Here is a 23,674-nt window from a genome sequence, read left to right on the forward strand (position 1 = left end):
GCCTCAAATCAAGACACCACATGACAGATTTCAGGTTAGGGAGAACTGAAGGCAAGTACCAGGAAGGACTTCCTTCCTTCTAGAAGGCCTCTTCTTCCTCTGGAATCTGCTATTTCTGCATGTGATGGCTGGAGTCTTGGAAGCTGTCTTGGGACCATGAGGAGGGAATACCCTTAGGACAAAGCTGAGATGCTGGGGAAGGTGGACTGGACAGACAGAAAGAACCTGGTTGATGGTATCATGAGGCCACTGAATTAACCGCTAGAGCTTCCCTAACCCTGAATTTATTGTTCTGTGAAATGGTGACTATTATTATTGTTTATGTTAGCTTGTGTAGGGATTTTCATCTTCCTTTCTGATAGAGGTGAGGCCTGAAGTGGGAGGGTGGATGATTAATCCAATGGAGTAAAGACAGGTGCTCCTTTTTTTTCAAAGAGAAGAGATTCGCTCATACAACTGAAAAATGTACACCTTTCTGGTTAGGGGAGATTACAGCTGGGGTTGCAGCAGACAGAACATTTTTGTTGTTGTTAGCACATAAGAGAATCCTTACCTGCCACAACTAATTAAGAAGAGAAGAGGCTGAGCATGGTGGCTCATTCCTGTAATCCCAGCACTTTCGGAGGCTGAGGCAGGAGGATCACTGGAGCCCAGGAGTTTGAGACTAGCCTGAGCAATATAGCAAGATTCTGTTTCTATCAAAAGATCTTTTTTTAATTAGCTGGGCAATGTGGAGAGCAACTGTAGTCTTAGATACTCAGGAGGCTGGGACCAGAGGATCCCTTGAACCCAAAAGTTCGAGGCTACAGTGAGCTATGACTGATGTCACTGCCCCTCCAGCCTGGACAACAGAGCAAGACCCTGTCTCTGAAATTTGTTTTTTTGAGACAGAGTCTCGGCTCACTGCAAATTTTGCCTCCTAGGTTCAAGCGATTCTCAGCCTCCCGAGTAGCTGAGATTGCAGGTATGTGCCACCACACCTGGCTAATTTTTGTATTTTTAGTGGAGACAGAGTTTCAGCAGGTTGCCCAGGCTGGTCTCAAATTATTAGCCTGAAGTGATCCACCTGCTGTGGCCTCCCGAAGTGATGGGATTACAGGTGTAAGCCACCGCGCCCAGCCTGAAAAAAAAAATTTTTTTTTAAAGAGAAGAGATTTGCTCACACAACTGAAAAATGTAAAGAAGCAGTATATCTTCAGGTGTGGCTGGATCCAGATGCTGAGATCATGTCACCAGGAGTCTGTTTTTGTCCATCTCTTCATAGATTTGTTTAATCTAGTTGCTGCCTCAGCAGCCATTTTTAGGCCTGACCTAAGTTGTTTGAAGCACAGTTGTATCCCATCACTTTTGGCTTAGTTAAAACTTCCCCTTCCTGGCCGGGCGCCATGGCTCATGCCTGAATCCCAGCACTTTAGGAGGCCGAGACGGGCGGATCACGAGGTCAGGAGATCAAGACCATCCTGGCTAACACAGTGAAATCCTGTTTCTACTAAAAATACAAAAAAAAATTAGCCAGGCGTGGTGGTGGGCGCTTATAGTCCCAGCTACACAGGAGGCTGAGGCAGGAGAATCACTTGAACCTGGGAGACGGAGGTTGCAGCGAGCCGAGATTGCGCCACTGCACTCCAGCCTGAGAGACAGAGCGAGATTCTGTCTCAAAAAAAACAAAAACCAAAAAAACCAAAAAAACAACTTCCTCTTCCTGGTGGGGTGCAATGGCTCATGCTTGAACCCAGGAGATGGAAGTTGCAGTGAGCTGAGATGGCACCACTGCACTTCAGCCTGGATTACAGTGTGAGACTCTGTCTCAAAAACAAACAAACAAAAACAAACACAAATAAACAAAACCAACCAACCAAATGGCAACAACAAAAACTTCCCCTTCTTGGCTGGGTGCAGTGGCTCACGCCTGTAATCCCAGCACTTTGGGAGGCCGAGGCGGGCGGATCACCTGAGGTCAGGAGTTTGAGACCAGTCTGGCCAACATGGTGAAACCCTGTCTCTACTAAAAAATACAAAAAAATTAGCCAGGCATGGTGGCGGGTGCCTGTAATCCCAGCTACTTGGGAGGCTGAGGCAGGAGAATCACTTGAACCTGGGAGGTGTAAGTTGCAGTGATCCAAGATGGTGCCATTGCAGTCCAGCCTGGACAACAAGAGCGAAACTCCATCTAAAAACAAAAAACAAAAAAAACCCAAAAAAAACCCCACCAACTTTCCCTTTCTGTGTGGTTGTTTGTGATGTAGTTCACTTGTTCCTCATCCTACTAACCCAAAACATAACACATCCCACAACTGCCAACCACAGTGAAACCTAATGGCCAACACTAGAGCTATATAAATAAGTTCCCTTTTCTTTAAACTAGTTTTATTTAAACAAGTCCATCCGCAACCCCCATGGGACAATATGTTGCCCAGGCTTGTCTCACGATTCTCCCATCCCAGCCTCCCAAAGTGTTGGAATTACAGGCATGAGCCACAGTGCCAGGCCGCTGTTTGTATTCATTACGTTTTTTTATTTTCTGAATTTTATGATGCTTTGACATTTGGAGGCTTACTGATCCTGGAGAGACTGCTCCTCCCAGGGCTAGCTAATTCCTAGAGATAGCAAACAACACAGCTGTGAGCGTATGTTTAATATACAAACCAAGCAGTCCAGAGCCCAACCCCCAACTATCTCCTTTATCAAACTCTGACACACCAAGACAATATTCCTCCTGCCTAAATCACCCCAGAGTCAGGTATGGACAACTAGAGATCACCCCATAACTCAGAGACTGCCAAAATTATTTGAACCATCAAACCTTCTTTTTTTTTTTTTTGAGATGGAGTTTCGCTCTTGTTGTCCAGGCTGGAGTGCAATGGCGCGATCTCGGCTCACCGCAACCTCCGCCTCCTGAGTTCAAGTGATTCTCCTGCCTCAGCCTCCCAAGTAGCTGGGATTACAGGTGCCTGCCACCACGCCCGGCTAATTTTTTGTATTTTTAGTAGAGACGGGGTTTCATCATATTGGCTAGGCTGGTCTGGAACTCCTGACCTCAGGTGATCCACCTTCCTTGGCCTCCCAAAGTGCTGGGATTACAGGCGTGAGCCACCGCGTCCGGCCGAATCTTCATTTTTATTTATATTTTTTTGAGACAGAGTCTTGTTCTGTTGCCCAGGCTGGAGTAGAGTGGTGTGACCTCAACTCACTTCAACTCCACCTCCTAGGTTCAAGTGGTTCTCCTGCCTCAGCCTCCCAAGTAGTTGGGATTACAGGCACACACCACTATGCCTGGCTAATTTTTGTATTTTTAGTAGAGACGAGGTTTCACCATGTTGGTCAGGCTGGTCTCAAACTCCTGACCTCAAGCGATCCATCCGCCTCGGCCTCCCAAAGTGCTGGGATTACAGGTGTGAGCCACCGGGCCCCGCCATATTTAAATTTTTTTTGAGGCTGGGTGTGGTGGCTCACACCTGTAATCCTAGCACTTTTGGAAGCCGAGGGAGGAGGATCCCTTGAGCCCAGGAGTTTGAGACCAGCCTGGGCAACATAGCAAGACCCCATTTCTACAAAAAATAAAAATAATTAGCTGGGTGTGGTGTGTGGTGGCGTGTACCTGTGGTCCCAGCTACTCAGGAGGCTGAGGCAGGAGGATCACTTGAGCCCAGGAGGTTGAGGCTACAGTGAGCTATGATTGCACCACTGCACTCCAGCTATGCTTGCCTCACTGCACTCCAGCCTGGGTGACAGAACAAGATTCTGTCTCTAAAATTAAACAAACAAAAAAAAGTGAATAGGATCATCTTGGCTGTAGAGGGGAGGAGAGAATTTAGAGAGGCTGGAGCGGGGGACAGGAGTGTGATATGATTAGAAATAGGAGTTGGAGCCAGGCGCGGTGGCTCACGCCTGTAATCCTAGCACTTTGGGATGCCGAGGCGGGCGGATCACGAGGTCAGGAGATGGAGACCATCCCGGCTAACACGGTGAGACTCCGTCTCTACTAAAAATACAAAAAATTAGCCGGGTGTGGTGGTGGGCGCCTGTAGTCCCAGCTACATGGGAGGCTGAGGCAGGAGAATCACTTGAACCTGGGAGACGGAGGCTGCAGTGAGCTGAGATTGCGCCACTGCACTCCAGCCTGAGAGACAGAGCGAGAGTCTGTCTCAAAAAAAAAAAAAAAAGAAAAAAGAATGTCTCCCCAAGGAGCCTGGCGTGTTGGTGCGCTCCTATAATCCCAGCTACTTGGGAAGATCTCTTGAGCCCAGGAGTTCGAGACCAGCCTGGGCAACAGAGCAAGACCCCAACTGAAGAAAGAAAGAAAGTCCCCCAGAGACCAGAGCTTCCTGGGGATTGGGAGGCCGTGTAATGGGCTATATTATGGGGCCCATTGGTGGCTCACTTCTCCGTCTAGCCCAGAAATTGTCACCCGGGATGATTCTGTCTCCCATGGGGACCATCTAGAGACGTACTTAGTGGTCACAACTGGAGGCGGGGATTGTTACTGGCATCTCGGGGTGGAGGCCGGGGATCCTACGATAGCTCCCAAAACAGACAGTGAATGGTCTGGTTCCAAATTTCCCTAGTGCCTAGGCTCTGCCTCGGACAGGAGCCGCAGCCGGGGTGGGGGCAGGGGTGCCAGGACATCAGAAACATCTTATTTATTTATTTGTTTACTTTTTATTTGTTTGTTTACTTTTTATTTATTTATTTATTTATTTATTGGAGACAGAGTCTTGCTCTGTCGTCCAGGCTGGAGTGCAGTGGCACGATCTTGGCTCACTGCAAGCTCTGCCTCCTGGGTTCAAGCCATTCTCCTGCCTCAGCCTCCCGAGTAGCTGGGACTGCAGGCGCCCACCACTATGCCTGGCTAATTTTTTTTTTTTGTATTTTTAGTAGAGACGGGGTTTCACTGTGTTAGCCAGGATGGTCTCGATCTCCTGACCTTGTGATCCGCCCATCTTGGCCTCCCAAAGTGCTGGGATTACAGGCGTGAGCCACCGCGCCCAGCTACTTATTTTTTTGAGACGGAGTCTCACTCTGTCACCCAGGCTGGAGTGCAGTGGTACGATCTCGGCTCACTGCAACCTCCTCCTCCCAGTTCAAGCCATTCTCCTTCCTCAGCCTCCCGAGTAGCTGGGATTACAGGCGCACACCACCGCACCCAGCTAATTTTTGTATTTTTAGTAGAGATGGGGTTTCAGCATGTTGGCCAGGCTGGTCTCGAACTCCCAGCCTCAGGTGATCTGCCCACCTTGGCCTCCCAAAGTGCTGGGATTACAGGCGTGAGCCACCGCACCCTGCCAGAAACATTTTAAAGCTCCCCAGGGTGACTTTCAGGTGCAGCCAGGCTTGGGAACCGCCAGTGCAGAGGGTCAGAGGGTTCTCCCGTCCGGTCCCCTGCTGCACCACCCGGAACCTCTCTCTCGGTTCCCCCTCTACTGGGTGTCTGTGGACAGAGAGGGTGGGAAGATCTGCTGGTGGAAACAGCCTCAGCCTCTGAGCCCCCTAGCCCCAGGCCCAGGTTCTCCTGCGGATCCCTGGCCTGGTGACCTGGCTTGCGCTGGGGGATCCCAGTGACCTCCTTCGGGCCCGCAGAGGTCTCCTGAGGCTGCTCAGGACTTCCTCTCCCTCAGCCTCTTTGCCCTGGCTAGGGAGAGAGACAGGAATGGGGCCAACAAAGGGAATAAGAATTCTGGAGGGGGCCGGGCATGGTGGCTCACGCCTGTAATCCCAGCGCTTTGGGGAGCTAGGGCAGGTAGATCACCTGAGGTCAGGAGTTCGAGACCAGTCTGGCCAACATGGTGAAACCCCGTCTCTACTAAAAATACAAAAATTAGCCAGGCATGGTGGCAGGTACCTGTAATCCCAGCTGCTCAGGAGGCTGAGGCAAGAGAATCGCTTGAACCCACGAGGTGGAGGTTGCAGTGAGCCGAGATGGCGCCGCTGCCTGAGTGACAGAGCAAGACTCTGCCTCAAAAAAAAAAAAAAAAAAAAAAGGGAATTTGGGAGGGGAGAGAAGTAACCCTGGTGTGAAGTGTGAAAGGAGAGAACTTAGGGCAGGAGGAGCAGGGTGGAAGAGAACGGCGGCCAGGCCTGGAGCACACGTGCATTCTCAGCAAACAGGGGCCCTGTCCCCAGGACATACACTCACACTCAACACTCACACTTATGCTCTGTCACACTCACACAGTCACACGCATGCTCATACATGGTCTCACACACTCATCCTCACACAGCCCCACAGCCTTGCACACTCCCACCCACCCTCACACAGCCCCACAGCCTCGCACACTCCCACCCACCCTCACACAGCCCCACAGCCTCGCACACTCCCACCCACCCTCACACAGCCCCACAGCCTTGCACACTCACACGCATCCTCACAGCCCCCCAGCCTCACACACTCCCACCCACCCTCACACAGCCCCACAGCCTCACACACATCCATCTTCACAAGTCTCATACCCTTCACATCACACACATTGTTGCACAAATGCAGACTCACACATTCACACAGGAACACACAACCACATGCTCACACCTATAGGCACTCACACTCACAGTCTCACAGTCTCACACATTCTCACACACATGCGTACACACACACATTCTGCAAACACCCGTGGCCTCCTCTGCCTTCGCCCCCTCCCAAAGCTGCCTGAAGACTCTCCAGATGTCACCTACTGCTGCTGCTGTGGCCTGAGCAGGAGGGGAGTGCAGAAGGGGAGGCTGGGTGGGAGGGGAGCAGGGGCCCGAAGATGCCCCAAATCCCTCTGCTTCATGACTAGCCCCATTTAGAGAGAGGATCACCCTTTGAAAACCAGAACCCCTCAACGCCAGCACCCCCTGGGTCTCCGGGATGAGGAGGACCAGGAAAACCCTCCCAGACAAAGGAATGGCTCCAAGCCTGGAGTGATGAGGGTGCCTGAGATTCTTTGCTTTTTGTTCATTCATTGATTCATCTTGCATGTTATTATTATTTTGAGACAGAGTCTCACTCTGTCACCTAGGCTGCAATGCAGTGACACCATCTCGGCTCACTGCAACCTCTGCCTCCCGAGTTCAAGCGATTCCCCTGCCTCAGCCTCCCTGGTAGCCGGGACCACAGGTGTGCGCCACCACACCCAGCTAATTTTTGTATTTTTAGTAGAAACGGGGTTTCACCATATTGGTCAGGCTGTTCTCCCACTCCTGACCTCAGGTAATCTGCCTGCTTCAGCCTCCCAAAGTGCTGGGATTACACGCATGAGCCACTGTGTCAGGCCTGATTTTTTTTTTTTTTTTTTTGATGGAGTCTAGCTCTGTTGCCAGGCTGGAGTGCAGTGGCACAATCTCAGCTCACTGCAACCTCCACTTCCCAGATTCAAGCAATTCTGCCTCAGCCTCCCGAGTAGCTAGGATTACAGGCACGCACTGCCATGCCAAGCGAATTTTTGTATTTTTAGTAGAGACGGGGTTTCACCATGTTGGCCTGGATGGTCTCGATCTCCTGACCTAGGATCTGCCCGACTCGGCATCCCAAAGTGCAGGGATTACAGGCGTAAGCCACCGTAATTTTTGTATTTTTAGTAGAGACGGGGTTTCGCCATGATGGCCAGGCTGGTCTCGAACTCCTGACCTCCAGTGATCCACCCGCCTCAGCCTCTCAAAGTGCTGGGATTACAGGCGTGAACCACTGCAACCGGCTCATCTTGTATATTAGATCCAGCGGTTTCTGTGTGTCCCACTCTGTCCACGCCACTGGGGGCACCACAGCACCCAAGACAGAAATCCCCACCTACATGGGGCTGATGTCCAGTGGAGAGTCAGACATAAACAAAAGTATGGATGTGCATGTGTGACAGAGAGAAGCCTCAACAAGGGATATAAAGGGGGAAAAAAAGAGCTGAGCCCAGTGGCTCATGACTGCAATCTCAACACTTTGGGAAGCCGAGGCAGGAGGATTCGCTGGAGCCCAGGAGTTCAAGACAAATCTGGGCAACATAGCAAGACCCCATCTCTACACAAAATTTAAAAAATTAAATTGGGCCGGGCGCAGTGACTCACACCTGTAATCCCAACACTTTGGTAGGCTGAGGTGGGCGGATCATTTGTGGGTCAGGAGTTTGAGACCAGCCTGGCCAACATGGTAAAATGCTGTTTTTACTAAAAATACAGAAATTAGCTGGGCGTGGTGGTGCACACCTGTAATCCCAGCTACTCAAGAGGCTGAGGCAGGAGAGTTGCTTGAACCCAGCTGGGCGTGATGGCTCACACCTGTAATCCCAGCACTTCAGGAGGCCGAGGTGGGCGGATTACCTGAGATCAGGAGTTCGAGCACAGCCTGACCAACATGGTGAAACCCCGTCTCTACCAAAAATACAAAATTAGTCGGGCATGGAGGCGCATGCCTGTAATTCCAGCTACTTGGGAGGCTGAGGCAGGAGAATTGCTTGAACCCGGGAGGCTGAGGTTGCAGTGAGCCGAGTTCGCACCACTGCACTCCAGCCTGGGCAATATGAGCAAAACTCTGTCTCAGAAAAAAAAAAAAGAATTGCTTGAACTCAGGAGATAGAGGTTGCAGTGAGCCAAGATTGCACCACTGCACTCCAACTGGGTGACAGAGTGAGACTCCATCTCTGAAAACAAAATAAAATAAAAATAACAAAGAAAACCAGCTGGGCATGTTGGCATAACCGTAGTCCCACCTACTTGGGAGGCTAAAGCGGGAGGATTGTTTAAACTCAGGAGTTGCAGGCTACAATGAACTAAGATCGCGCCACTGCACTCCAGCCTGGGTGACAGAGAGAAACTCTGTCCCAAAATAAATTAAATTAAATTTGCCAGGCGCAGTGGCTCACGCCTGTAATCCCAGCACTTTGGGAGGCTGAGGTGAGCAGATTGCCTGAGGTCAGGTGTTAGAGACCAGCCTGGCCAACATGGTGAAAACTCGTCTCTACTAAAAGTACAAAAATTAGCCAGGCATGGTGGCGGGCACCTGTAATCGCACCTACTCAGGAGGCTGAGGCAGGAGAATTGGCTTGAACCTGGGAGGCAGAGGTTGCAGTGAGCCAAGATCGAGCCACTGCACTCCAGCCTGGGTGACAAGAGCAAGACTCTGTCTCAAAAAAAAAAAAAAATTAAATTAAATTAAAACCCAAAAACAGTGGAGTCTGGGCCTCTCAGGCTGGGTGCACCCCAGGGGACTTCCTCTCTGATAGTCTCCTTGCCCTCTACACCTAACCTGGCCTCTACACCTGGGACCCCTGTTCCCTGAGGCCCCACCCATAACCACATCCACGTCTGGTGGGATCCAGCACCTAAGTCCGCTCTAGTGGACGGCACTCCTTCCCCGAGTCCCCACTGGCGAGGACCATGAGCAATTCAATCCCATTCTCCACCCAGAGACTTTGCTGGAAAAGAGCTAATTATATCTCTGCCCCGGAGCCCATCTGGTGGGGTCTGGGTGGTGACGGGCGAGTGTGTTCCGCGTCCACGGCCGGCGGCACGCGCACAAACACAGCTTCCCATATATTTTTAATTCCACAGCCATACTTTGATTAGAGAGCCGATGTGTTGTGTACGACCTCAGGGACCTCATTATTTTTCTAACTCAAATAAATACGGCGTTCAGAATTCGGGGAGGGTTGGAGGGGGTGTGGAGTAAAAGACGCAGAAAACTCCATCTATAAAAAGAATTCAGGCCTTAATGAGCTTTTAAAACTTGCCAACCTCTCTCCCACCCCCTGACACCAATCTATAAACAGGAGCCATGCCTGCTGGCTTTGATGGTGGGAGTCTAGGTGGGTGAGGATTGGCTGGGGTGGGTGTTGCGGGGCAAAGCCACAGCAGGGGAGAGGCCCCCCTGCAAAGGTAGCTGGGTGTCTGTAAGATTTGGGGAAGGGGGATGGCAGGCACAGTGGCTCATGCCTATAATCCCAGCACTTTGGGAGGCTGAGGCAGGAGGATCGCTTGAGGCCAGAAGTTGGAGATCAGCCTGAGAAAGATAGCAAGACCCTATCTCTACAAAAAAATTTAAAAATTAGCCTGGCGTGGTAGCGTGTGCCTGTAGTCCCAGCTACTCTGGAGGCTGAGGTAGGAGGATGGCTTGAACCCTGGAGTTTGAGGCTGTAGTGAGCTTAGATTGTGCCTCTGCACTCCAGCCTGGGTGATACAGCAAGACCCTGTCTCTGGGGAAAAAAAAAAAAAAAAAAAAAATATATATATATATATATATATATATATATATACACACACACACACACACACACACACCATACATATATATAAAAACATAAATATATACATATATACATATATAGACATATACATATATAGACATATACATATATACACATATACATATATACATATACATATACACACATATACATATATACATATATATGTGTATACATACACATATATACACACACATATATATACATATATATATATATATACACATATATATATATACACACACACATATATATATATATATATTTGGGCAAGTGTGTTCCCAGCCACAGGGAGAATGGAAGTGGTCTCTATCCAAGTTCAGCAGGAATCGTCAATATTCATGGGCCCAGGCTAACTGGGGTGTTGATCTGAGAAAGATTTAGAATTTCCTGATCTCCTAGACCCATTTGGGCTGTGGTATGAGGATGAGTTCTGCTTCATTATTATTATTTTTGAGACAGAGTTTCGCTCTTATTGCCCAGGCTGGAGTGCAGTGGCACAATCTCCACTCACCACAACCTCCACCTCCCGGGTTCAAGCAATTCTCCTGCCTCAGTCTCCCAAGTAGCTGGGATTACAGGCGCGTGCCACCACACCTGGCTAATTTTTGTATTTTTAGTGGAGTCAGGGTTTCACCATGTTGGCCAGGCTGGTCTTGAACCCCTGACCTCAGGTGATCTGCCCGCCTCGGCCTCCCAAAGTGCTGGGATTACAGGCGTGAGCCACTGCACCCGGCCTCTGCCTCATTCTTGTATGTCTGGAAATTCTTCCCCAGAGGCTCCCCTGGGAGTTGCTGAGATGAGCAGATGGGGAAACTGAGGCAGAGCAAAGCAGGCTGGACCACAGGATATGTATTGGGTGCCCTCCCCACCCACTTGGAGTCAGCTAGACCCCACCTTCCTTCGCAGTGGATAAGCCCTGGCTGGGGTTGGGGGTTCCCCGTTGAGCAGGCACCAGCCGAAGGAGGCCCCCCAGTGGCCGTGGTGTTACGGTGAGGTGGACGGAGAGCAGGCAGTGACCACGGGGCTCCCGAAAGGACAGGGTGACCTTCGAGTCACTACCCATGTGCATCGTTCCAACAGCAGCAAAGACACTCCCGGAGCAGGCAGCAAAGCCAATTTCAGGTGAAAGATGAGTTAAGTGGGCAGAAATGAGCTCCGGGCTGAGAAATTTCTGCATGACAAAAATTCCAGGGAGCAGGACAGACCTTAGGAGCAGCTGAGCAAGAGCCTCTGGAAGGACTCAGGGGGATAGGAGGGGAGGGAAGGGATGAAAAACAAGATCGGGACATGCAATAATGTGGTGAATGGGGGCAGGAAGGGGGCAGGAAGATACTGGGGTCTGCACAATGCGGGGAGAGGGGTTTTCCCTGCCCCTCAATCTGAAATGGCAGCCCCTGTCTCTTGCTTTTCCCCCTACCCTCTCCCTGCTGTTGTTTTCTATTTATTTATTTATTTATTTTTGAGACAGAGTTTCACTCTTCTTCCCCAGGCTGAAGTGCAATGGCGCAATCTTGGCTCACCTCAACCTTTGCCTCCTGGGTTCAAGCGATTCTCCTGCCTCAGCCCCCAGAGTAGCTGGGATTACAGGCACACGCCACCACACCCGGCTAATTTTGTATTTTTAGTAGAGTCAGGGTTTCTCCATGTTGGTAAGTCTGGTCTTGAACTCCCGACCTCAGGTGATCTGCCAGTCTCGGCCTCCCAAAATGCTGGGATTACAGGTGTGAGCCACCGTGCCTGGCTGTTTTCTTTATTTCTTTGATTTTAGAGACAGGATCTCACTCTGCTGCCCAGGCTGGAGTGCAGTGGTGCAATCATAGTTCACTGCAGCCTCCAACTCCTGGTCTCAATCCATCCTCCTGCCTCAGCCTCCCAAGTAGCTGGGACTACAAGTGTGCACCACCACGCTCAGCTAATCTTTTAATTTTTGTAGAGATGGGGTCTCCCTATGTTGCCCAGGCTGGTCTCAAACTCCTGGGCTCAAGCGATCCTCCTGCCTCGGCCTCCCAAAGTGCTGGGATTACGGGTGTCAGCCACTGTGCCCAGCTTCTGCTATAGTTTTCTGTTTGAGATTTCTTCATCACCCTCTGTCATGATGTTTGTCATCCGCCTCTCTCATCAGACTGGCCACCTACCTTGCCCCACCTGAAGGCAGAGAGTTTCGTCTGTCTTCCTGAAAGGTAGGCAGAAAGATGTCAGCTGGGAGGGGCCTTCTAGATGGGTGTAAACAGTGGTGTGCTTGTGAACCTGTTGTGGGGAGAGAAGAGGATTTGTAGTGTTTGCCAATTCCAGCGGTGTAAATTCTGCCACCTTGGCTGACTTCAAGCTGTGAATGTAAGATTTCCTTGACAGGGTGGGGGAAGTTTGAGGGGGCAAGGGGATTGTGAGGTGGTGTCCAGATGGGTGTAATCAATGATGAGCCGGTAAGCCAGCTGCAGAGAGGAGACCCAATTTGTAGTGTTTGCCAATTTCCATGGTGTAAATTCTTCCCCCTTGGCTGAATTCAAGCTATGAGTGTGATGCCACTGAATCCCAACTTAGGAAGAGATTGCATAATGAAATGACTCTTGTGAGCCACTTTGACCCAGCTCAAGTATACCGTGGGGTGGAATCTCCTGGCCTGGAGTTGACCCTTTCTCCAGTTTGGGATTAGGAGGAAGGGAAGACAAGTAAGAGGGTGAAGCCAGTCTCCCTGTCTTCCTTCCATCCTGGGGCCATTCTACTCCCTGGGACCTCTGCTGGGGATGCTCTTCCATCAGATACTGATAACTGAGCTGTCCCCACCCATTCTGCATAGACCCCATCCAGGGCCCCTGCTGGGAAACCAAGAGTTTGTCCAAGTGGCGACATGGGGACCCCTACCCACTGCTATCTTTGCTGCCTCTTTTTTTTTGAGACAGAGTTTTGCTCTTGTTGCCAAAGCTGCAGTGCAGTGATGCGATCTCGGCTCACTGCAACCTCCGCCTCCCAGGTTCAAGTGATTCTCCTGCCTCAGCCTCCCGAGTAGCTGGGATTACAGGCGCGCGCCACCACACCTGGCTAATTTTTGCATTTTTAGTACGAATGGGGTTTCACCATGTTGGCCAGGCTGGTCTCGAACTCCTGATCTCAGGTGATCCGCCTGTCTTGGCCTCCCAAAGTGCTGGGATTACAGGTGTGAGCCACCATGCTCAGTTGCCTTTTTTTTTTTTCCTTTTTCTTTTTTTTTTTTAGGGACGGGGTCTTGCTGTCACCCAGGTTGGAGTGTAGTAGTGTGATCATAGCACACTCCAGCCTCACACTCCTGGACTCAAGGGATCCTCCCGCCTTAGACTCTGGAGTAACTGAGACTACTGGCACGCTCCACCATAGCCGGCTAAGTTTTTTAGTTTTTGTAGAGAAAGGGTCTTGCATTGTTACCCAGGCTGGTCTCAACCTCCTGGCACAAACGATCCTCCCACCTCACCCTCTCAAGTAGCTGAGACTACAGGCATACACTACCACACCCGGCTTTTATGGATTTTTAAAACTGATTCATAATAGAGGTACATATTTTCAGGGTACGTGATATTTTGATACATTCATATCATGTGTAGAGATCAAATCAGGGTAATTGCAGTATCCATCATCTTAAAGGTTTATCTTTTCTTTATGCTAGGAATGCTCAAAATAGCTCTCCTACCTTTTTTTTTTTTTTTTTTTTCGAGACAGAGCTTTGCTCTTGCTGCCCAGTCTGGAGTGCAATGGTGCGATCTCAGCTCACTGCAACCTCCACCTCCCGGGTTCCAGCCATTCTCCTGCCTCAGCCTCCCGAGTAGTTGGGATTACAGGCAAGCATCACCACGCCTGGCTAATTTTTGTATTTTTAGTAGAGACAGGGTTTCACCATGTTGGCCAGGCTGGTCTCGAACTCCTGACCTCAGGTGATCCGACTGCCTTTGCCTCCCAAAGCGCTGGGATTACAGGCATGAGCCACCATGTCTGGCCTCTCCTAGCTATTTTGAAATGTATAATGGATTACTGTTTACTGTAGTCACCCTACTGATCTATCAAACACTAAGTCTTGTGTGCTCAAGAGCAGTGTGAGCACCCAGCTCAGCTGTCTGAGCTTGGCCCTGTCACTTTCCCTCCTGGAGCCTCAGTTTTCCCTTCTGTGAAATGGGTATATATTAGTGCCTGCCTCTAATACAGTGTTGTGAGGCTTCAGGAAGGGAGTATTTGGTTCCTGTACCTCTAGAGCAGGGGTTTCTTTCCTCTCTTTTCCTTTCTCTCTTTTGCTCTCTCTTTTTTTTTTTTAAACAGAGTCTCGCTCTGTCACCCAGGCTGGAGTGCAGTGGCATGATCTCAGCTCACTGCAACCTCTGCGTCCCGGGTTCAAGTGGTTCTCCTACCTCAGCCTCCCGAGTAGCTGGGATTACAGGCATGTACCACCACACCTGGTTAATTTTTGTATTTTTAGCAGAGACGGGATTTCACCATGTTAGCCAGGCTGATCTTGAACTCCTGACCTCAGGTGATCCACTCGTCTTGGCATCCCAAAGGGCTGTGATTACAGTTGTGAGCCACCAAACCTGACCCTTCCTCTCTCCTTCCTTCCTTCCTTTCCTCTCCTCCTTCCCTCCTTCCTTTATTTCTCTCTTTTTTTTCTTTCTCTTTCTTTCTTTCTTTCTTTCTTTCTCTCTTTCTTTCTTTCTTTTTTCTTTCCTTCTTTCTTTCTATTTTTCTTTCTTTCTCTCTGTCTCTCTCTCCTTTCTTTCTTTCTTCTTTCGGTCTTGCTCTATCACCCAGGCTGGAGTGCAATGGTGCAATCAGAGCTCACTGCAGCCCCAAACTCCTGGGCTCATGCTATCTTCCCACTTCAGCCTCTGGAGTAGCTAGGACTACAGATGCACGCCACCAGGCCTGGCTAATTTTTTTTTTTTTTTTTTTTTTTAGAGACAGAGTCTTGCTATGTTGCCCAGGCTGGAGTTTCTTGACCTGAGCACTGCTGACATTTGGGGCTGGGCCATTCTTTGTTGGGGGGTCCTGTCCTGTGCATTGGTGGATGTTTAGCAGGATCCCAAGTCGCAACAACCCTAAATGTCTCCAGACTGCAGGGACGCAGGCAACCACACAGGGAGGAAGCGGAGAGTCAATGCTCCCCACCTCTCTCCTCTGCCTTCTAACCTTCTTTTGAGGCTTTCTATTGGCTGAACCTAACTGAAGCCAGAGGACAAGGGAGCTATTAATGGGTTCTTTGTTTGTTTGTTTGCTTTTGAGACAGAGTCTCACTCTGTCTCCCAAGCTGGAGTGCAATGGCATCATCTCGGCTCACCGCAACCTCCGCCTCCTGGGTTCAAGCCATTCTTCTGCCTCAGCCTCCAGAGTAGCTGGGATTACAGGCATGGGCCACCACTCCTGGCTAATTTTCAGGTTTTGTTGTTGTTGTTGTTTGTTTGTTTGAGACAGAGTTTTACTCTGTCACCTAGGTTGGAGTGAAGTGGTGCGATCTCAGCTCACTGCAACCTCTGCCCCCAGGGTTCAAGTCATTCTCCTGCCTCAGCCTCCCGAGTAACTAGGATTACAGGCATGTGCCACCACGCCCGGCTAATTTTTGTATTTTTAGTAGAGCTGGGATTTCTCCATGTTGGCCAGGCTGGTCTCAAACTCCTGACCTCAAGTGATCCACCTGCCTCAGCCTCTCAAAGTGCTGGGATTACAGGCGTGAGGCACTGTGCCTGGCAATGGGTTCTTACATATCAGCCTCCTAGGCATGGAACAGGGCGGAAGAAGATGAAGAGTGGCCCATATCCCAAAGATACACCGCTCAGTTTTCCTTATTCCCCTCTGCATGCAAAGACTTCAGACTTCCATCACTGTCTGAAGGCTGTCCCGATCAGCTCCTGCCCCACTGCCCCTCTGTCACTCACGGGTGTCTCCCCCGTGAATCTCTTGTACTTTCTTTTTTTTTTTTTTTTTTTTGAGACGGAGTCTTGCTGTGTCGCCCAGGCTGGAGTGCAGCGGCGCGATCTTGGCTCACTGCAAGCTCCACCTCCTGGGTTCACGCCATTCTCCTGCCTCAGCCTCCCGAGTAGCTGGGACTACAGGCGTCCGCCACCACGCCCGGCTAATTTTTTTGTATTTTTAGTAGAGATGGGGTTTCACCGTGTTAGCCAGGATGGTCTCGATCTCCTGACCTCGTGATCTGCCCGCCTCAGCCTCCCAAAGTGCTGGGATTACAGGCGTGAGCCACGGTGCCTGGCCGAATCTCTTGTACTTTCAACTCCATCTCAGCATCAGCTTCTCAGAGGACCTGAACTGATGCAAGGGGCACGTCTTCGTCAGCTTGGACTGTGTATTAGTCAAGGCTCGCCAGAGAAACAGAACCAATAGGATATATATAGATACAGAGAAGGAGATCTATTATGAGAGATTGACTCATGTACTTATGGAGGCTGAGAAGTCCTACAATCTGCCATCTGCAAGCTGGAGACTCAGGAAAGCTGGTGGTGTGATTCCAGCCCAAACTCAAAGGCCTGCACACCAGGAGAGCAGATGGGGTAAGTCCCGGGTCCGAGACCAAAGGCCTGAGAACCAGGATTGCCAGTATCTGAGGACAGAAGAAAACGGATGTCCCAGCTGGAGCAGAGAGAATGAATTTAACCTTCCTCTGCCTTTTGGTTCTAGCCATGTCCTCAATGGATTGGATGATGCCCACCTACATTAGGGAGGGTGGATCTTCTTTCCTCAGTCTACTAATTCAAACACTAATCTCTTCCAGAAAGCCTCACAGACACAGGCAGAAATCATGTTTCACCAGGTCTCTGGGTACCCCTTAGTTAAGTTGATAACGCAGAATAAACATCACAGGCTGCCATAAGAAAATACGATAAATTGGCTGGGCGCAGTAGCTCACACCTGTAATCCTAGCACTTTGGGAGGCCGAGGCAGGTGGATCACCTGAGGTCAGGAGTTCGAGACCAGCATGGCCAACATGGTGAAACCCCGTCTCTGCTAAAAATACAAAAATTAGCCGGGCATGGTGTTGGGCACCTGTAATCCCAGCTACCTGGGAGGCTGAGGCAGGAGAATTGCTTGAACCCAGGACGTGGAGGTTGTAGTGAGCCGAGATCATGCCACTGCACTCCAGTCTGGGCAAGAGAGCAAGACTTTGTCTCAAAAATGACAACAACAAAGAAAATACCATAGACTGAGTGGCTTAAACAACAGAAATTTCCTTCTCACATTTATAGAGGCTGGAAGTCCAACAGCAAGGTGTCAGCAGAGTTGGTTCCTGGTGAGGACTCTCTTCTTGGCTTGCAGATGGCCGCCTTCTTGCTGTGTCCTCACATGGCCTTTCCTCTGTGTGCTTGAAGAGAGAGAGAGATCTCTGGCATCTCTTCCTTTCCTTATAAGGACACCAGTTTTATTGGATTAAGGCCTCACCCTGATGACCCCATGTAACTTTCATTACCTCTTTAAAGGCCCTATGTCCAAATATAGTCACATTGGGGGTTAGGACCTCACCATTTTAATTTGGAGGGGCACAATTCAGTCCATAATGGGACAAATGAAAAACATTCAGCACACAGCCAGCCTGCAAGCTCCCCAGTTACATATAGACTCACAGACCTTTCATGAATAGTGGCTGGATCCCCTCATTACTTTGTAGTTCAACGACAGGAGGACTGGAGTGGGGGTCTGCTGGGCTGCATGCAGTGGCTAGTATATGTATGGATGGGGTGTTTGGGATGGATGTCAGAAGCCCCCCAAAGGTGTAATTGATGCAGGACAGTGTTCCAGAGCTGAAGATCATCCCCCACCCCCATGACATGGGTTCCCAGCCCCCCTGCCCATCAAGGTTGTCCAGAGGCAGCTGCATAAGGAACAAGAAAGCCCCAGCGGGTGGTGCACCAGCCCAGTTCTCCACCTCTCCAAGTCCAAGCTGAGCAGACATGGGTGACTGCTTTCTGGTTCTATATTTGGTCAGGAGGAGGATTTCCTGTCCTTGAAAAAATTCCTGAGATCCTGGGAAGATGTGAAAGCCATGGCAATTTGAGGGGGGCAGGGAGGGGAAGGAATTGTATGCAGACAGTTCAGCTCAAATGAGAGGAGGACAACTAGGACCCCAAGTTGCAAAGTCTGGCTGCAAAACCAGAAGCTTGTGATGGAGCCCCACACCCCAGGGAGACAGGAGAGCATGGTAGGTGTATATTTAAATTAAATCCAGCAGTCCAGGCACGGTGACTCACACCTATAATCTGGGCACTTTGGGAGGCAAGGCGGGCAGATCACTTGAGTTCAGGAGTTCAAGACCAGCCTGGCCAACAAAAGGAAACCCCATCTCTAATAAAAATAGAAAAATTAGCCAGATGTGGTGGTGCACACCTGTAATCCCAGCTACTTGGAAGACTGAGGCAGGAGAATCACTTGAACCCGGGAGGCAGAGTCTGCAGTGAGCCGAGATCGCACCACTGCACTCCAGCCAGAGTGAGACTCCATGTTAAAAAAAAAAAACTGCTGAGCAAGGTGGCTCAAACCTGTAATCCCAGCACTTTGGGAGGCAGAAGCGGGCAGATCACTTGAGGTCAGGAGTTCGAGACCAGCCTGGGCAACATGGTGAAACCCCCGTCTCCAAAATTAGCTGAGCATGGCAGTGCGCTTCTGTAGTCCCAGCTACTCAGGAGGCTGGGGCAGGAGAATTGATTGAACCCAGAAGGTGGAGGTTGCAGTGAGCCGAGATCACGCCACTGCACTCCAGCCTGGGCATCACAACGAGACCCCGTCTCAAAAAAAAAACAAAATCCAGTAAACAGTTCAGACATGGTGGCTCATGCCTGTAGTCTCAACACTTTGGGAGGCCAAGGCAGTAGGGTTGCTTGAGGCCAGGAGTTCAAGACCAGCCTGGGTAACATAGTGAGAACTCGTCTCTACAAAAAATTTAAAAATCGCTGGGCGCGGTGGCTCACGCCTGTAATCCCAGCACTTTGGGAGGCTGAGGCAGGCAGATCACGAGGTCAGGATATCGAGACCATCCTGGCTAACACAGTGAAACCCTGTCTGTACTAAAAATACAAAAAAATTAGCTGGGCGTGGTGACAGGTGCCTATAGTCCCAGCTTGTCAGGAGGCTGAGGCAGAAGAATGGTGTGAACCCGAGAGGCGGAGCTTGCAGGGAGCCGAGATTGCGTCACTGGCCACTGCACTCCAGCCTGGGCAACAGAGCAAGACTCTGTCTAAAGAAAAAAAAAATGTAAAAATTTAGCCAGGTGTGTTGGCAGATGTCTGTTGCCCCAGCTGATTATGTGAGTTTGAGACTGGAGGATGGCTTGAACCCAGGAGGTTGAGGCTGCAGTGAACTATGATCACACCATTGTACTGCAGCATGGGCGACAAAATGAGACCCTGTCTCAATCAATCAATCAATCAATCAATAAAATAGAAATTGCCCTTTAAGCTAGGCACAGTGGCTCACATCTGTAATCTCAGCACTTTGGGAGGCCAAGGTGGGAGGACTGCTCGAGCTCAGGAGATCAAGGCTGCAGTGAGCTATGATTGTGTCACTGCAGTCCAGCTTGGGCAGCAGAGCAAGACCCCAACTCAAAAAATAAAAATTAAAATTAATTCATTAAATTCAGTAAACAAAACAGACAAAGTCCCTTGTCCTCACAGAGACAACATTCCAGTGGGGGAAGGCGACAATGAGTTAGTTAAATAAAATAAGTGGTAGGTTCAACAAGGAAAATAAAGTAAAGAAAAAAATAGGCTGGGCCCAGTGGCTCATGCTTGTAATCCCAGCACTTTGGGAGGCCGAGGCGGGCAGATCACAAGGTCAAGAGATTGAGACCATCCTGGTCAACATGGTGAAACTCTGTCTCTACTAAAAATACAAAAAAAATTAGCCAGGCGTGGTGGCATGCACCTGTAGTCCTAGCTACCTGGGAGGCTGAGGCAGGAGAATTGCTTGAACCTGGGAGGCAGAGGCTACAGTGAGCTGAGATTGCACCATTGCACTCCAGCCTGGGCAACAGAGTAAGACTCCATCTCAAAAAAGGAAAAAAAAAAAAAAAAAAAAAGCAAGGGAGACAAACAGGAAGTGCTGAGGATCGGGGTTGCAATTTTAATTGGGTGTCCAGGGAAGGCCTCACTGGGAAGGTGACTCCTTTTTTTTTTTTTTTTTTTTTTTTTGAGACAGTCTCGCTCTGTTGCCCAGGCTGGAATGCAGTGGCCCAATCTCAGCTCACTGCAGCCTCTGCCTCCTGTGTTCAAGCGATTCTCCTGCATCAGCCTCCTGAGTAGCTGGGACTACAGGCACGCGCCTCCATGCCTGGATAATCTTTTGTATTTTTAGTAGAGACAGGGTTTCACCACGTTGGCCAGGCTGGTCTTGAACTCCTGACCTCGAGCGATCTGCCTGCCTCGGCCACCCAAAGTGCTGGGATTACGGGCATGAGTCACTGCGCCTGGCCTGAAGGTGACTCTTGAGCAAAGAGTTGAAGGAGGTGAGGGAGTTGTATTAGTCAGTTATGGCTGCCTAACAAATTGCCCCACCCCCAAAATCTCAGCAACATGGATTATCTCACAGTGTCTGTGGGTCAGAAATCTGGATGTGGCTTAGGGCCACTCACAAGTCTGTAGTCAAGGCATCTGCTGGGCTATAGCCTTCCCAAGGTTCAACTGGGAAGGACCCACTTCCAAGCTCACACATGTGGCTGTTGTCAGAATTCAGTTCCCCACTGGCTGTTGGCTGAAGGCTAGTCTCAGTTCCTTGACACGTGGGTCTCTCCAAAGAGCATCTGAGAACATGGGCACTGACTTCATCAGAGCAAGCCAGCCAGTGGGCAAGACAGAGTGCTGACAAGAAGGAGGGAATTCAGCAGGACAGACATCATGGTTTTGTTTTGTTTTGTTTGAGATGGAGTCTCACTCTGTTGCCCAGGCTGGAGTGCAGTGGCGCGATCTCAGCCCACTGCATCCTCTGCCTTCTGGGTTCAAGCGATTCTCATGCCTGAGCCTCCCCAGTAGGTGGGACTACAGGCACCAACACACCCGGCTAATTTTTGTGTTTTTAGTACAGACGGGGTTTCACCATGTTGGCCAGGCTGGTCTCGAACTCCTGACCTCAAGCGATCTGCCTGCCTCAGCCTCCCAAAGTGCTGGCATTACAGGCATGAGCCACCATGCCCGGCCCAGACATCACGGTCTTTTATAACCTAATCTTAGAAGTGACATCCATCATTTTTGCCATGTTCTTTGGTTAGAAAGGAGCCCCTCGGCTGGGCGCGATGGCTCATGCCTGTAATCCCAGCCCTTTGGGAGACCGAGATGGGTGGATCACCTGAGGTCAGGAGTTGGAGACCAGCCTGGCCAACCTAGTGAAACTTCATTTCTACTAAAAATACAAATATTAGCTGAGCGTGGTGGCTCAAGCCTGTAGTCTCAGCTACTCGGGAGGCTGAGGCAGGAGAATCACTTGAACCCGGGAGGCTGAGGTTGCAGTGAGCTGAGATCACGCCGCTGCACTCCAGCCTGGGTGACAGAGTGAGACTCTGTCTCAAAAAAAGAAAAAAAAGAAATGAGTTGCTAGATCCAGCCCACACTCAAGGGGAGGGGATTAGACAAAGGCCTGAAGGCCAGGAGGCAGGGACCCTTGGAGGCTGTCTTAGATACTGCCTCCCACAGCAACCATCAGGGGGAACAGCATTCCAGGCAGAAGGAACGGCAAGTGCAAAAGCCTTGAAGCAGGAACAAGCGAAGCCATGTGGTCAGGACAAGAGGGAGTGCAGTGTGGCTGGAGCAGGAATTTGGGGGCGGGAGAGTTAGAACATGAAGACAGAGAGGCCAGCAGTGGTCCTGGGGACCCTATGAGAAGTAACTTTCTGAATTTTTTCTAAGAACCATGAGAAACCACAGTGCAATTTCAAGCCAACACATGATGTCATCTGATTTAAGATTCCTACGATACCTACTGAAGTAATATGGTATCTGGTATTTGATTTAAGAAATCTCTTTTTTTTTTTGAGATGGGGTATCGCTCTGTCACCCAGGCTGGAGTACAGTGGCACGATCTTGGCTCACTACAACCTCCGCCTCCCAGGTACAAGCATTTCTCCCACGTCAGCCTCCAAGTAGCTGGGATGACAGGGGTGCACCACCACACCCAGCTAATTTTTGCATTTTTAATAGAGACGGGGTTTCACCATGTTGGCCAGGCTGGTCTCGAACTCCTGACGTCAGGTCATCCACCTGTCTCGGCCTGCCAAAGTGCTGGGATTACAGGTGTGAGCCGCCACACCCCACTGAAAGCTCATTATTCTAAAAGTTGGGTGAGCAGGGCACAGTGGCTCACGCTTGTAATCTCAGCACCGAGGTGGGAGGATGGCTTGAGGCCAGGAGTTGGAGACCAGCTTGGGAAACATAGTGAGACCCCATCTTTACAAAAATAAAAAATTAACACACCTGTAATCCCAGCTGAGGCGGGTGGATCACGTGAGGTCAGGAGTTCGAGACCAGCCTGGCCAATGTGGTAAAACCCCGTATCTACTAAAAATACAAAAATTAGCCCAGCATGGTGGCACACTCCTGTCATCCCAGCTACTCAGGAGGCTGAGGCAGGAGACTCATGTAAACCTGAGAGGTGGAGGTTGTAATGAACCGAGATCACCACCACTGCACTCCAGCCTGGGCGACAAAGAGACTCCATCTCAAAAAAAAAAAAAAAAAAAAAAAAGGCCAGGTGCGGTGGCTCATGCCTGTAATCCCAGCACTTTGGGAGACCGAGGCGGGCAGATCACGAGGTCAAAAGAGCAAGACCATCCTGGCCAAGATGGTGAAACCCTGTCTCTACTAAAAATACAAAAAATTAGCCGGGCGTGGTGGCGCATGTCTGTAATCCCAGCTACTCGGGAGGCTGAGGCAGAATAGCTTGCTCATCTGCTGCTGGTTTGCATGTGAAATGGCACAACCACTTTGGAAAACAATTTTTATTTTTATTTATTTATTTTTAAGACGGAATCTTGCTCTGTTGCCCAGGCTGGAGTGCAGTAGCACAATATCCGCTCACTGCCACCTCCGCTTCCCAGGTTCAAGCGATTCTCTTGCCTCAGCCTCTGGAGTAGCTGGGACTACAGGCACGAACCACCACGCCCAGCTAATTTTTTGTATTTTTAGCAGAGACGGGGTTTCACCATGTTAGCCAAGATGGTCTAGATCTCCTGACCTCATGATCTGCCTGCCTCAGCCTCCCAAAGTGCTGGGATTACAGGCGTGAGCCACCGCGCCTAGCCGGGAAACAGTTTTTAAAATAAAGTTACATTGGGAGGCCAAGGCAGGCAGATTGCCTGAGGTCAGGAGTTCGAGACCAATCTGGCCAACATGGTGAAACCTCGTCTCTACTAAATATACAAAAGAAATTAGCCGGGTGTGGTGGTGGGCACCTGTAATTCCAGCTACTCATGAGGCTGAGGCAGGGGAATCGCTTGAACCAGGGAAGTGGGGGTTGCAGTGAGCCAA

General features: G+C 50.1%; 1 long non-coding RNA gene across 1 annotated transcript in view, besides 4 other annotated features; it reads right to left on the reverse strand.

Moving 5' to 3' along the window:
* LINC01841 (long intergenic non-protein coding RNA 1841) overlaps window positions 1–23,674 on the reverse strand; it is a 58,533-nt gene that overhangs the window by 2,442 nt on the left and 32,417 nt on the right. Inside the window, exons 2-3 of the long non-coding RNA NR_134908.1 lie at window positions 17,409–17,532; window positions 12,341–12,452 (exon numbers count right to left, since the gene is read on the reverse strand). This is a non-coding gene — a long non-coding RNA (long intergenic non-protein coding RNA 1841). The remainder of the gene's footprint in view (window positions 1–12,340; window positions 12,453–17,408; window positions 17,533–23,674) is intronic.
* Window positions 3,109–3,363: a silencer, noted in NCBI's record as "fragment chr19:14421820-14422074 (GRCh37/hg19 assembly coordinates)". NCBI's record gives its function as "represses an EF-1alpha promoter that drives an FKBP-Casp9 reporter gene in an ReSE screen in phorbol 12-myristate 13-acetate-treated (for megakaryocytic differentiation) K562 erythroleukemia cells {active_cell/tissue: K562(+PMA)}" and the evidence as "EXISTENCE:reporter gene assay evidence [ECO:0000049][PMID:32094911]".
* Window positions 10,498–10,999: an enhancer, noted in NCBI's record as "H3K4me1 hESC enhancer chr19:14429209-14429710 (GRCh37/hg19 assembly coordinates)". NCBI's record gives its function as "activates a minimal SCP1, AML or CMV promoter by ChIP-STARR-seq in naive H9 embryonic stem cells {active_cell/tissue: H9 hESC(naive)}" and the evidence as "EXISTENCE:reporter gene assay evidence [ECO:0000049][PMID:30033119]".
* Window positions 11,000–11,499: an enhancer, noted in NCBI's record as "H3K4me1 hESC enhancer chr19:14429711-14430210 (GRCh37/hg19 assembly coordinates)". NCBI's record gives its function as "activates a minimal SCP1, AML or CMV promoter by ChIP-STARR-seq in naive H9 embryonic stem cells {active_cell/tissue: H9 hESC(naive)}" and the evidence as "EXISTENCE:reporter gene assay evidence [ECO:0000049][PMID:30033119]".
* Window positions 11,018–11,312: a silencer, noted in NCBI's record as "tiled region #12842; HepG2 Repressive non-DNase unmatched - State 13:Ctcf". NCBI's record gives its function as "represses a minimal TATA promoter and a strong SV40 promoter by Sharpr-MPRA in HepG2 cells {active_cell/tissue: HepG2}" and the evidence as "EXISTENCE:reporter gene assay evidence [ECO:0000049][PMID:27701403]".

This window comes from Homo sapiens, chromosome 19, assembly GCF_000001405.40.
Source record: "Homo sapiens chromosome 19, GRCh38.p14 Primary Assembly".
Classification (NCBI taxonomy): Eukaryota; Metazoa; Chordata; class Mammalia; order Primates; family Hominidae; genus Homo; species Homo sapiens.